The 13,879-nt window shown below is 34.4% G+C and overlaps 1 protein-coding gene across 10 annotated transcripts in view; it reads left to right on the forward strand.

The window, feature by feature from the left end:
- The window catches only part of NEDD1 (NEDD1 gamma-tubulin ring complex targeting factor), a 46,524-nt gene that overhangs the window by 17,530 nt on the left and 15,115 nt on the right, over positions 1 to 13,879 (forward strand). For 7 of the 10 annotated variants that reach the window (NM_152905.4, NM_001135177.2, XM_005268644.3 and 4 more), the window contains 3 exons: positions 10,190 to 10,419; positions 11,825 to 12,026; positions 12,412 to 12,607. In NM_152905.4, coding sequence (NP_690869.1) covers positions 10,190 to 10,419; positions 11,825 to 12,026; positions 12,412 to 12,607 — 628 coding nt within the window. Of the gene's footprint in view, positions 1 to 46; positions 157 to 196; positions 1,112 to 10,189; positions 10,420 to 11,824; positions 12,027 to 12,411; positions 12,608 to 13,879 lie in introns of those variants that run through there. The other 3 variants (XM_047428288.1, XM_047428289.1, XM_047428290.1) reach the window with 3 other exon arrangements.

Here is a 13,879-nt window from a genome sequence, read left to right on the forward strand (position 1 = left end):
CTAATCTTTATATATGTTATTACTTTTTCTTTATTGCGTTGACTAGGCTCTCCAATCCAGTGTTGAATAGAAGTGATGATAGTGGACATCTTTATTTTGTCCCCAAATTCTGGAAGAAGCATTCAATTTACTACCAAGCATGATAGTCATTGTAAGGTTTGTTTTGTAGATATCCTTTATCTTATTAGGGTGCTGTATATTGTGGGCAGATTTTACTATTTATGTTGGAAGTTTTACATCATTTAGCTCCTATAATTCATATTTATTCATCCTAGATGAAAGTAGCAATAAGCAATAAGTATACAGTTAACCAAACAGAATGTTGAGTGCTGTGAAAGCAATAAACTGCGGAGTTCCAAGGGAACCTAAAGGAGAGACACCTAAGCCATTTGGGAAGAATGGAAAAGCATTTTAAAGGAAATGATGTCTCAGTGGTAGCCTGAGGAAAAGTCCAAGTTATTCAGACCTGGGTTTTTGGGGAGGGACCAGAGAATGTGGTGAGAGGATTTGGAGAGCATTGTAAGCAGAGGTTATCACAGCATAGAATGCTTACCACCATTTATTGTGTTTCAGCACTGTGATCATTGCATTGAATTACATTGTCTCGTTTAATCTTTGCTACTAACTTGTGAGGTATATGTTCTCATTTTACAAATGAGAAAACAGATTCCAGGACTTTCAGATCATACAACTCTTAATTGACTATTTTACATATCAGCTCTTCAGAAGTGGTAGCATTTTCTTTTGCATATCTAGCTCAGGAGCAGCTGAATATATAAGGGTTTGAGGGTGAAAAGCTTCTGGAAACTTTACACTATTTTCTTGTCTCTTTGTGCAGGAGTCCAACATGTACCTATACCTCTTCCTCACACCAGTATCTTTTAAAATTCTATGTGATAGGTTGCTGTATTGTTAATTTTGAAAGGATTTTCATTGATAACTGCACAGGGAACTGAATTAAATATATCTTTTAGTTTAGGAAAACAGTAATGCTCAAAGCTTATCTCTTATCTAAGATCAGATAAACTAGAACTTGAGATCTTCATGGGCCTGCTGCCTCCTGCTTGGGCATTCTGCATCTCTGTAGGATCTTCTGATGTAGATTTACGTGGTAAGTCCCACATTTATTTGGAGAGCACTAGGAGTAAAGCACCTTAGCTAGCTCAGTGAACTTGAACAAGTTACTTAACTCTCAAGCCTCCTTTTCCTTATCTTTCAAGTGAGAATAATATACTTTCAAAGGGATTTTTTTTTTTGATGGCTAAATGAGATGGTGAGTGTGTTTATCACATTGCCTACCATTTGGTAAGAGGTCAGTGGATGTTAGCTATTACTGTGAGCTTTTAATGAATACCAATCCATTAAAATACCTTTTGTGATTTACTTCTCTAAAATGGTTTGAGCATCTTTAGATTTAATGTGTTCCCTCCAAACCCAGTTGCAACTTGACCCCAGTGATCATATTTTGTGTTTTAGACTGATTTAAAAATGAGAGCATTAAAGAGGGTGAAAAATTTGACTAGAGTCTGTTGGTTTTTTTCCCCTTTCCCTGGAACAAATGGTTATATTTGTTTTGTGTACCATTTTATTTCATTTTTCTTCAATAAGTTATACCATTAAAACAGAATACATGGGCTAGGAAATGCAAGTTGGCTTCTGCTGGTAAGGATGCAGTCCCAGTTTTCTTAGTGAGGAAAGACAGTTTTCATGATTTTACATACTTATGTTTTCCTTTTATGGGCAGCATAATTTAAACCTTTGGAATTTTTTTTTTTTTTCAAATTAGTTTTTTTTCCTGCAAGCAGTACTGCCTGTTTTATCTGATTGTGGCCCAAAGCATCGAATTGCTACTTAATGAATGTTTATTAATTAAAAAAAGTTTTGTTAAGATTTCTCAAAATTCAGTTCAGTTTAAAAATATCGTGGCCAGGCACAGTGGTTCACACCTGGAATCCCAGCACTTTGGGAGGCCAAGGCAGGCAGATCACTTGAGCCCAGGAGACCAGCCTGGGCAACATGGTGAAACGCCATCTCTACAAAAAATACAAAAATTAGCCAGGTGTGGTGGTGCGCGCCTATAGTCCTAGCTACTGAGGAGGCTGAGGTGAGAGGAGAGATTGAGCCTGGGAGGTTGAGGCTGCAGTGAGCCATGACTGTGCTGCTGCACTCCAGCCTGGGTGACAGAGCGAAAAAAAAAAAAATTGTGTGTGTGTGTGTGTGTGTATAATATATATCATGTTCATTTAAACAGTGTTCATAAAAATTTCAAATCTGTCAAAAAGTTGACATAATTGAATTCAGTCTGTTACTTAGGCCAATTTCTGTGATCAATTTTACTTATTGAGAAAAATGGTAAATAGGGCACATCCATGATTAAATTAAAAATTTTTCTACTTTTGCTTCTATGAACAATCACAAATTTCAAATCTTTAAAAATGATCAAATTAGTGTCTTAGTGAAAGTGATAGGAATGTGGAATCTCACAGAATCTGCATCATACTGAATTGTATATATTGAAATAAGATTTCCTGAGTATATTTAGAATCCAACTTTGAAATGTCTGAGCTGAATTAAAGTTATTAGCTTTATGTGGATCACAGTGTCTTTCTACAGGGGAAAAGAGCCTTGCTGCTTCTGCAGAACTCCCGGGCTGACAGACTACTTAGGTTATAATTGCATGTCACTCTTTAGCAAGTTTAGCATCTTAGGCTCACAAATAGGTTAACTTGTGTTATCTTTCTCAAGCTGCAGCCTTTTCCAAAGCAATTACAAATGTCAATCTATTGTATTGATTCCTTAGATTAAAAAATGATCTTTAAATGTAGGTTTTCTGTGACATTTCAGTATATGTTATTCAGTATATGTTAAATCCATTTGCTTTTCCTAAATGAAATGTTTTATGTATAGATTTTGTAAGCATTAATAGTCTGCTTGAGTATGGAGATCTGATAAATGTAAATATTAATTACATTTTTAGAAATAATAGTTTTCTCAAGAATGAATCTATTCTAAATTGGTTTATTTCATTGACTGGTTATATTTATACCAGAATTGCAGCACTCAAAAACTTTGACTACAAAGACTTTTTATCTAGAAGTGGTCTTTTTTATGTTATATAGGAGCATTGGTATAAAATGTTTATATGATAACATTTCTTTGATTCTCTATATATTTCTGTAGTATTGGTATACACTTGACTAGCCTATATAATATGTTCTTGAGCAATTTTATAATTGACATGTAGGCATAAAATAAATGGATAATCTGTATATTTCTTCTTAAAGACTTTTCTCCTTCTATTTTTCTCTTCTAAATTTTCTTCAGTAGAAAGCTATTTGAAAGATGTTTTCTAACAGTGTTTCTATGTATAGCTCTGTCTTCTGTCCATATAGTTATACTCATTCTGTTTGTCCAATCATGTTTTCTGCCTGTTCTCATTAGTGATCTACCCTGGGTATCCTCATATTATTAGTCTTCATAACCATAATTTTTAATGACTGGATGTATTTCATTATTCAATGCCATCATTTACCTAAAAATCCTCTATTGTTTTATTTTCCAAATTTTTATAATAAATGAGCACATGTTAATATTGTTTTCATAAGTATGTATCTTCTGATTTTTGATTCTTTTCTTTGAGAGTACAAGTTCTCTTTCAATGTAATTTAGTAGCAGGCTTACATTTCCTTTAAGGAGCTTAAGTGTTACCCTATTATCTTTGGTCTCAAATGTGTGACGTGATTTCATAGCTTTTGAAACCCTTTTAAGTCACTAGTTTTTTATTCCTAGGTTATTCAAAGGAATTTTTTTTTTCTTTAAAGCCACGTAATTTTTCTAGAATATGTCTTGATGTTGGTCATTATGTATTGCTATTGTTAGGTACATAGTGTGTTTCTTTTTTTTTTTTTTTTTTTTTTTGAGGCAGAGTTTCGCTCTGTCACCCAGGCTGGAGTGCAGTGGCACTGTCTGGGCTCACTGCAAGCTCCGCCTCCTGGGTTCACACCATTCTCCTGCCTCAGCCTCCCGAGTAGCTGCGACTACAGGCGCCTGCTACCACGCCTGGCTAATTTTTTGTAGTTTTTGTAGTAGAGATGGAGGTTTCACCACGTTGGCCAGGATGGTCTCGATCTCCTGACCTCGTGATCTGCCCGCCTCGGCCTCCCAAAGTGCTGGGATTACAGGCGTGAGCCACCACCCCCGGCCCATAGTGTGTTTCTTAATATGTAGTTTCAAGTCTTTTTTTATTTTTGGAAATTTTTCTTAAATTATAATTTTTAGTATTCTTTTTCTCTCTTTGGATTTTTTGTTGTTGCATTTTCTTTGCTTATCTTCAGTGGTTTATCATTTTTTCTCAAGTGTTTTTAAACTTTTTTGTTATTTCTTTTTGATTTTTAAAAATTTCTTTTTAACCTGTCTTTAAGGTATTGTCTGTTGTGTTTATTCATTTTTGAATTCCTTCTAAATTAGCCTTCATTTTTGAAGAGATTTAAAAAATTTCTAATTCTTTCCCAAGTTCTGACATCTCTTTTCTGAGTTTTAAATTTATGTTTTTTTTCTTAATGTCTTGTATTTTTTTTTTCCTTAATGTCTTGTATTTTTTTTTTCTTTCTGATCTTCTGTTGAGAACGTTTTTCTCCTTGTTCTCTTTGTTTTCATAAGTTTGTGTGGGATATATCTGTGAAATTAGTTTTAGCTTCCCTGAACTTCTAGACAAAAGGAGGTCAAAGTGGCTTTTCTAACTTCACAGAGCTCCCTATTGTTTTCATGTATACACACACACACACACACACACACACACACACACACACACACACATATGTGTATATATATATATATATTTTTTTTTTAATGGCTGCTTGCTTTCTGGGGTTCCCTGACTCTGCTCTACTTTTCCACCTGTCTGTGAACCTTTGTTGCCTCCATCCTGTTCAGGTTTGCTTCCACTTCTAGCAGATCTCCTCAGTGTGGGGCTCTGACCTGAGAGGGACACACTTTGGCTGGTCAGTTTTGGAATTCTCTGGCTAAACTGCTCTTGTCTTGACCTTCCTGCAAACCTGTAGCACAGACCTGTTAATGAAGTGGATATTCTGGGTTTTGACTGAGGTTGTAAAATTGGCCACCATGCTTTTCTGTGAATACCTTTTGGCTGTTATGGGCTGCTTCTGTTCTCAGATCTGTCACAGATTCCTTGTTATTCCTTCTACTTCCTTCTGCACAGACACCAGTACCATGAAGGACTTATGGCTGTTAATTGTTTGACCTCTCAGCATGTGTTTGGGGGTTCATGGGGATACCTCATCATCTAGTTTGTTGTAAATGTTGTCCGTGGGATTTTAGTTTTTGGTCATCTAGTTTATTATCTGTTGTAAAACACACACACACACACACACACACACACACACACACACACACACACACACACACACTCTCTCTCTCTCTCTCTCTCTCTCTCTCTCTCACACTCTCACATGCTGTGTTGGGGATTTCTAAGACCAGATTTGGTCATTCTCTAGGAGAACTCACAGGATTCTGTATATAGTCATACTCATGGCTATGATTTATTTTATAGTGAAAGAATACAAAGCAAAACCAGCAAAGAGAAAAGTGCATGGGGTGAAGGCCATAGGAAACCAGATGTTAACTTCCAAGGGTCTTCTCCTAGAGTAGATGTGCTTAACCCCTTCCAGGACCAAATTGTGACAACATATATGAAATGTTGTCTACCAGGGAAGCTAGTTAGAGCCTCAGTGCCCAGGGTTTTTATTGGGGGGGCTGGTTATATCTAGGAGTCCACTGCCTAACACATACCAAAATTCCAAACTCCCAGAAGGAAATTAGGTGTTCAGCTGTGGTTCAGCCTTAAACCATATCTATCACAAATAAGTTTAGGCAGAGTGAGTGAGCCACTCTTACGAGTTAAGGCAGTGGGACCCCTTCCAAAACCCAAGTTCGCAGATGCTAGCCAAGGACCAACCCTGAGTGTGGGACTTTTTAAAGATAGACAGTCTCAGGCCTGCTTTTCTACATACACATACACACACATACATGCACACACACGTACACATGCACTCACAGTATTGACGGTCATTCAGAAACTCTGCCACCACCATAACCAGTAACTTCTCAGAGACCTCCCATTGAAAGGATTTTAAGCAAAAGACAAATATGTTGAGATTTTTCAGGTTTGAAGATGTTAGTTACTGCAACAGAGTGCAGGATGGATAGTAAGCCACTGAGAATGGAAATGGGATAACTATGTAGTGGCTTAGGTGACAGATGATTTGTGCTTGATGTAAGGCCCTGGGAATCAAGAAGATAGGATGGAGTCAAAGGAACACTATATTTATGGCCATATATATGTGTGTATGTTCATATGTATGTTAAGATGTTTGTATTAATTTCTTACTGCTTTATAGTGCCTAGTAAGAAAATGATGTGAATGTATGTTCTTATCTGTGCAAAGGGAAGGCTTTTCTAAGCATAAATATAAAGAAGTATAGTTATAAGTCACTGGCAACAAGTTTGATAAATATAAATATATAAAAATTTAAAACTTCTGACAAAAAGCAAGGCAAAAATTCACAAAATTTAAATGAAATAGGGAAGGTATTTACAATGTATGAGAGCAGTTGCAATGTAAGAGCAGTTGCAAATTAGTATTTTAAAAATCTTCATAGCCCAATAGAAAATAGGCAAAGTAGAATAATGAGCAGTTTGCAAAAGAAGAAAGACAAATAGTCATTTCATATTTTCAACTGAGAACCTTTAAGGCATGAACATCAATGAATTACAATTTTTTTCATAAATTAACAGTTTTAAAAAAGGATAGTAATCAGAGTACTTGCAAATCAGAAGTAACCCAAATGTCTAACATGATATTATTTAGGTAAATTAGTATACTCATGCATTCATATCTTAAACAGCTATTAAAATCAAGTAGAAAACATTGACATGGCTGTTTATAATGAAGTATGATTCCAGGTTTTCTGTTGATACTCTACTGAATACACAGAAGCATACATACACACAGAAAAATACTTAAAGGATACCCCCTCAAAATGTCAACCACTTTTTCTCTGGGTAGTGGGATTATGGATGGTTTTTCTTCTTTGTGATAAAAAAAATTTTTTTCTATTAAATAATTATCTTAGTAGAGACTGAAAAACTATAACCTATGGTCTAGCCAACTTATTTTTGTAAAGTTTATTGGAACACAGCCATGCTTTTCATCTATATATTGTCTGTAACTACTTCTAAATAAGTTTTTGAAACCTTCCCCCCACCTTTAGTGAGTGGTATGTTTTTTATATTTAGAAACAATCTCCCTCCTCCACAAACATGCAACATTCTTACACAATAATGTGGTATAAGAAAAAATAGCATTGCTGCTTATACTGCCGGGATTTTTTCCCCCCCATAAGCTTCTTGATTTAATTCTTTTCTTATAAATAATTTAGTCTGGAACAAGATAGGGAGTTAATGACTTAAGTGCTGCTGATACTGAAATAAGTTAATATTTATTTTAAATATAATTTGGAGGCCAGGTGCGGTGGCTCACACCTGTAATCCCAGCACTTTGGGAAGCTGAGGCAGGTGGAGTGCTTGAGTCCAGGAGTTTGAGACCAGCCTGGGCAAAATGGCAAAATCCTGTCTCTTAAAAAAAAAAAAAAAAAAAAAATATATATATATATATATATATATAAAATGCACACACACAAGTAAATATATTTATATATATAAATTATATATATATAATTTAGTAAATCAGTGTTTTGTTTATCCAGGATTCTTAGCTAATATCTTAATGATATTCTAAAGAGAAGATTTAACAGATATAGAAAGTTAAGAAATGAAATTCTGTTAGTATTATCACAGAAATAATTGGAGACATTTAAAGAATTCAATGTGGTTACTTAAGGGTCTTTTAAAAAATATGTAAAAGATGGTTGAATGGTGGGTACATAAGCAATGATGAGCAAGTAAGTTATGAACTTCTGGAAATGGTGATGGCTACTGTGTACCTGATTCTGTACAGAAATGCTATTTAATCCTCAAAATAATTGTGTCAGGAAAACAAGAGTGTTTTCTATTATGTAGATGAGAACGCTGAGTTTTGGAGAGTTTAAGTAATTCACCTAAATCATACAGAGGTTTGCTGAGCGTCCACTGAACTTAGGTTTATCTGAAGGGAACATTTATCATTATCTTTAGCCTTTTTTTTTTTTTTTTTAAATAGTCTGCCATGTAGGTCCCAAGAACTTGAAGTAAGATACAGAATTTAGGTTTTGTCTTGATCAAGAATACATTTTTAACTGGTTATCAAGTTGTGTTAAAGACAGTGGTAAGCTCCTTGTTGTTTGATAGATGCAAACAGATTCTGGATAACCATGTTTTAAGGATGTTGTAGGAAAATTCCTGCTGTTGCTAAGAGGTTAAACTTTATGAACTTCGAGAATCTACCAGGTCTGTGATTTTTATGGTGTTTTTAAAAATTCTACTTGTGTATTTAGTCTAAATTTAGATCATGTGAAGGACGATAACTATATGAACTCCTAAAGTGCTGTAGAAATCTTTTTAGAAATCATGTTTTGCCTTATATTTTGATATGTTGTGTATGACTCTGTAATCATTAACATAATGCACTAAGTAGGTCTGTGTCTTTTATATAGTTAACATTCATGTAGTTTATTTTTTCTTGAATATGGACCAGAGAAAAGATTTGACTATTCAAGTGGATATACTTTTTCCCAACAAAAATAAAAATTATATAAACCAACATTTTCTCTTTGTACTTTAGCCATATGAAAATGGGCAAATTTAATGGGTTAACATATTAATTGTCTTAACTTAGGTGCCAGGTGACTAATAACTCCTTTTTGTTTTTTTTTCTTAGCATTTGGTTTCTGTATTTCCTAGACATTTTTTGTTGTTGTTGAGAGCTAATATATATTATTTGAGACATTTTAGAATTAAGTAGAATATAAATTCATAGGGAAAAATTAGCTTAAATGTAAAGTACTTAATTTTCCGCCTAGTAAATGACAACATCAATACAAGTTTGACAGTAACATTTTAGTAAAAAAGAAAAGTAGATAAAATTCAGTTAGTTTTAGTCTAAGATCAGTTTATTCAAACTAGATCTTTGTTTATTCTGGTCCATGGAAGCTAGGAAGAGAGAATATCTCCACTACCTGCAGGGATTTGTGTTTAGAGAAAGGCCAGCATTGCCCTCAGGCTAATGGTTTTGAAACAATGGATATAGTCCATCCCCAGTCTAGAGTGTTGCCAGTTTTTCCTTTGTGGTTTAATTTTTTTTTAAATTATGCTTCAGGTGTTGAATTGTCAGTGCATCAGATGCTCAGATTCAAACAAATGTATCAAAATATCTAAAATATAGAAAACAAATACAAAATATTATTGCTTTTTTTTTTTCTCCCAGTATTCCCTTATACTTGTTGATTTGACTGTGACAAGGCCTTTTATATATGGTGGATGTTCTAACCCTGATGAATTAATGTAGATAATCTCAATGTATTATATTTTTCCTCTGAAAGGAGAAGATTGAGGTAGCTATACTCCAAGATAATAAAATGACAAATATTAATAGGCTATTGATTGGTATGTTTCAGGTATTGGTATGTCATCTTATGGTCCACTGAATGACACCGTGGTTGTCATGATTGAAATTTGTTACCCTTTCTTTTCTTTTCTTTTCTTTTTTTTTTTTAAGACAGAGTTGGGTTTTTTTGTTTTGTTTTGTTTTGTTTTTAAGACAGAGTCTCACTCTGTCGCCCAGGCTGGAGTACAATAGTGTGATCTTGGCTCACTGCAGCCTCCACCTCCTAGGTTCAAGTGGTTCTCTTGCCTCAGCCTCCCAAGTAGCTGTAATTACAGGCGCCTGCCACCATGCCCAGCTAATTTTTGTATTTTTAATAAAGATGGGGTTTCACTAGGTTGGGCAGGCTGGTCTTGAACGCCTGACCTCAGATGATCCACCTGCCTCGGCCTCCCAAAGTGCTGGGATTACAGGCGTGAGCCACCACGTCTGGCTGAAACCTGTCACTCTTACACATCAGAGAAATCCTAAACCCCATGTGAATAGTGTGGTTGGCCATAATTTATATGGCTTATATCAAATGTCCTTATGAATGCTTATAATTACATAAAATTTATTCTTTCATTTTTATAGTCTGTTCGGCACTTGAAGTACTCCTTGTTTAAGAAATCACTACTGGGCAGTGTTTCGGATAATGGAATAGTAACTCTCTGGGATGTAAATAGTCAGAGTCCATACCATAACTTTGACAGTGTACACAAAGCTCCAGCGTCAGGCATCTGTTTTTCTCCTGTCAATGAATTGCTCTTTGTAACCATAGGCTTGGATAAAAGAATCATCCTCTATGACACTTCAAGTAAGAAGTAAGTGTGACATGCTTATTTCTTAATTTAGTAACAAATAGCTATTATTCCATTAACAGGCATATTTGTGATTTATATAGACCTCTGATTAGTGTCCAGGGGTCCTAAAGTTTGTACAGTTGATGGATCTAGTAAGAAAGAATTTTCTTCTTATGCAGAAAGAAATAGATGGGTTGCAGGTAGTATTTAGGGTACTTCTGAAACATGAACATAGAGAGATGACATCTTAATGATTTCACATTTTAATTTTAGCATCTTTTCCACAATATGATAAAATGCATATGTTTTTAACCCAAATGATTAATTTGCTTTAAAACTGATTAATTATCTAGAGGAAGGTTTAGAAACGATTGACATTTTGGGCTGGGTAATTCTTTGTTGTGAGGGGCTGTCCTGGGTATTGTAGGATATTCATCAGCATCCCTGGCCTCTGCTTACTAAATACCAATGGCCTAAATTGTGTCCAGACATTGTCAGATGTCCCCTGGTAGTAACCAGGGACAACCTGGGAGCACCCACTTGAGAAATACTGATTATGTACTGGTGTACATAATCCTCTAAGCATTTGGGCCCACTGTACCCTCTTCTTGTTAAATTTAGGTATGCTTAGTTAGCTAAAAAACAAAAACAAAAACAAAAGAATGCAAGAGTGATACAGTTGTATTCAAGATGCTTACCACTGTCTGTAGATCATGTGGAGTATGAATGTTACTACAAGGGAAGGTCCCACTGTCAGCCTTTATTATGATGCTAGAATTTTTACTGTTAGGACTTATTTGCTGTCTTCTTTTATGGAACAATTTACTGAGAGCCCAGTAAGCCATTCTTCTTTTCTACTATACACACCAGTAAAGAGCTCAGCTTCAGCAGATCACCATCCGTATTTCTTTATTAGCTTCCTAAGGATCAAGCATGTGAACTGTGTTCCTCTTAGCTTTTTGGCCAAGACTGTACAACTAAGAACAAAGTAACAGCTGCTCCCCTGTGAAAGGTCATAGTCCTCATGAGGCCTAAGCAGGTCAATAAATGGAAAGTGGATACTTAGGCCCTCCTCAACCATGAGGCCAGAGCCCCTGTTTGTGGCGTAATAGACAGTTCTGCTACATTCACTGTCAGAGTAATAATTAAAGAAATAGGTGCTGCTTCTATAAGATGCAGAATGTACCTATTGGAAGTGAATAGAAAAGTAAGATGGAATGTTTAGCAGTTCTCTATATGCCATTTTATTAGAAATGTCTCTAAGTCAAATTCTGAAATTATGCTTTAAACAAATATTTGGGATATGTGTGCTCTTTGACCAGTTTGAAGTGTTAATAACTCTGGTTTTGGTATATAGTTACTTATATAAGCTAATATACCTGTACACACTAACATTTCTACACATACTTTGTTCTCCTTTCCAAAGGCTAGTGAAAACTTTAGTGGCTGACACTCCTCTAACTGCGGTAGATTTCATGCCTGATGGAGCCACTTTGGCTATTGGATCTTCCCGGGGGAAAATATATCAATATGATTTAAGAATGTTGAAATCACCAGTTAAGACCATCAGTGCTCACAAGACATCTGTGCAGTGTATAGCATTTCAGTACTCCACTGTTCTTACTAAGGTGAGACATTTTCTTTTCAGCATTTTTTATTTTATTAAATAAATCTAACTCAGAATATGGAAATTATATGTGGTCAATTAAACAGTATAGTTTTGTTTCATAATTACATAATGATTTTACATGTAATGTATAATAATTTTAGTACAAAGCCATTTGATATTTAGTTTTAAAACTTTTTTTCTTTTTTTTTTCTCCTTATATATCTCTCTTTTTAAAAGTATTTTAAAAGACATTTTAATTTAGAGGGAAACTCAGGTCTGCCAGCAAGCTTAAGATTTGCAAGGAAAAAAATATATTTTTTAATCTAACAGGGAATTTATAAAATATTAATGTATAGTATGAAACATTAGTAACCTGAGCTTTTAAATATTCCATTACATTTCAGTCAAGTTTAAATAAAGGCTGTTCAAATAAGCCCACAACAGTGAACAAACGAAGTGTTAATGTGAATGCTGCTAGTGGAGGAGTTCAGAATTCCGGAATTGTCAGAGAAGCACCTGCCACGTCCATTGCCACAGTTCTACCACAACCTATGACATCAGCTATGGGGAAAGGAACAGTTGCTGTTCAAGAAAAAGCAGGTAAATGTTGCTTATATATTGTTGGAGGGTTGGTTTGTTTTTTTTTTGTTTTTTTGTTTTTGGCTTGCATATAATTAGCACATTCTTCAAGAACATAGAACTCAAATTTATTTGAGTACTTAGGTAAAATTAGTAGAAGTGAAAATCATTGAAGAAGTGAAAATAGTAACTTTGGCTATTAATTTCAAAAATGATAAAAGGCCCTTATTGTTTAGCTAAACTTCTCTTGTGAGAAATATTGTCTTAAAAATGGAAGGAGGCTAACTCAGAAATTATTCATCCTTAATACTACTAAAGACTGAATGGCTTTTCATTGTGTCTTCAGATTAACCAGTAGAAAATATGAAACTTTGACACTGTCTTATGATTTGATCTCATTAAATAAAAATAAATGAGAATGTTGCAATTTCTAATGATTTCTTCTTCTCTCATGTAATTGGCGAAACAGTTCTGAAACAGGATTCATTTAGACTTTATTGATGTGTTATATGATAAGCTTTCTCTTATTGTAGAAAATATTTCTTGCTCACAATAAAAAAATATTCTGTAAATTCCTGAAAACCTTTTCATTTTTATTTTAAGAAGTTATGCTATACTGTCAACGTGCAACAAATACTTTAGAAAGTCTACATGGTATACTAGTATGTTTCTGAAATATTGTGCTTAGTAGAAATACATATATCCATGTCTTTTAAATTTTTCAGGATAAATACTTGGGCAAAAATATTTATTGGTGTTTTTTTTTAGCATGATTTTGCTATTTCCAAGTAGAAGCAAAACTTTAATTTGTTGATCTTGATAGTGTGGAGTAGTATTTTAAAGTAAGTATATTCACTATAAATTTCCTGTGAATATCTGTATCATCCTTATATAAGAGCCATTATATATTAGGAAAATAATTAAGTTCTTATTTAGGAACTCCTGGAGACAAAGACAACTGATATCTACTTAAGGAAGAAATTATTTTTGAAATATAACTTTGAGTAATGTCTGCCAACATGTTGAATTAACTATATTATGAAAATTATCTTTTTTCAAAATTTTCAAAAATTAAACAAAATAAAGATTCTCTCATTCACTGTAAACTCTCTGAAGTCTCTCCATTATTCATTTAGTTTTATAGTAAGAAGGCTCTTGTTTAACAAAGACAGCATTAATTTGCAAATCAAAGGCTTGGATCTTTCAGGGTCATGGATTAACGATAACTCTTGGTAGATTCCCAACATTTCTGGCAAAGTGAGTGCTCTGCCCCCACAAAATTAACAATGTTTG

Source organism: Homo sapiens, chromosome 12, assembly GCF_000001405.40.
Source record: "Homo sapiens chromosome 12, GRCh38.p14 Primary Assembly".
Taxonomy (NCBI): Eukaryota; Metazoa; Chordata; class Mammalia; order Primates; family Hominidae; genus Homo; species Homo sapiens.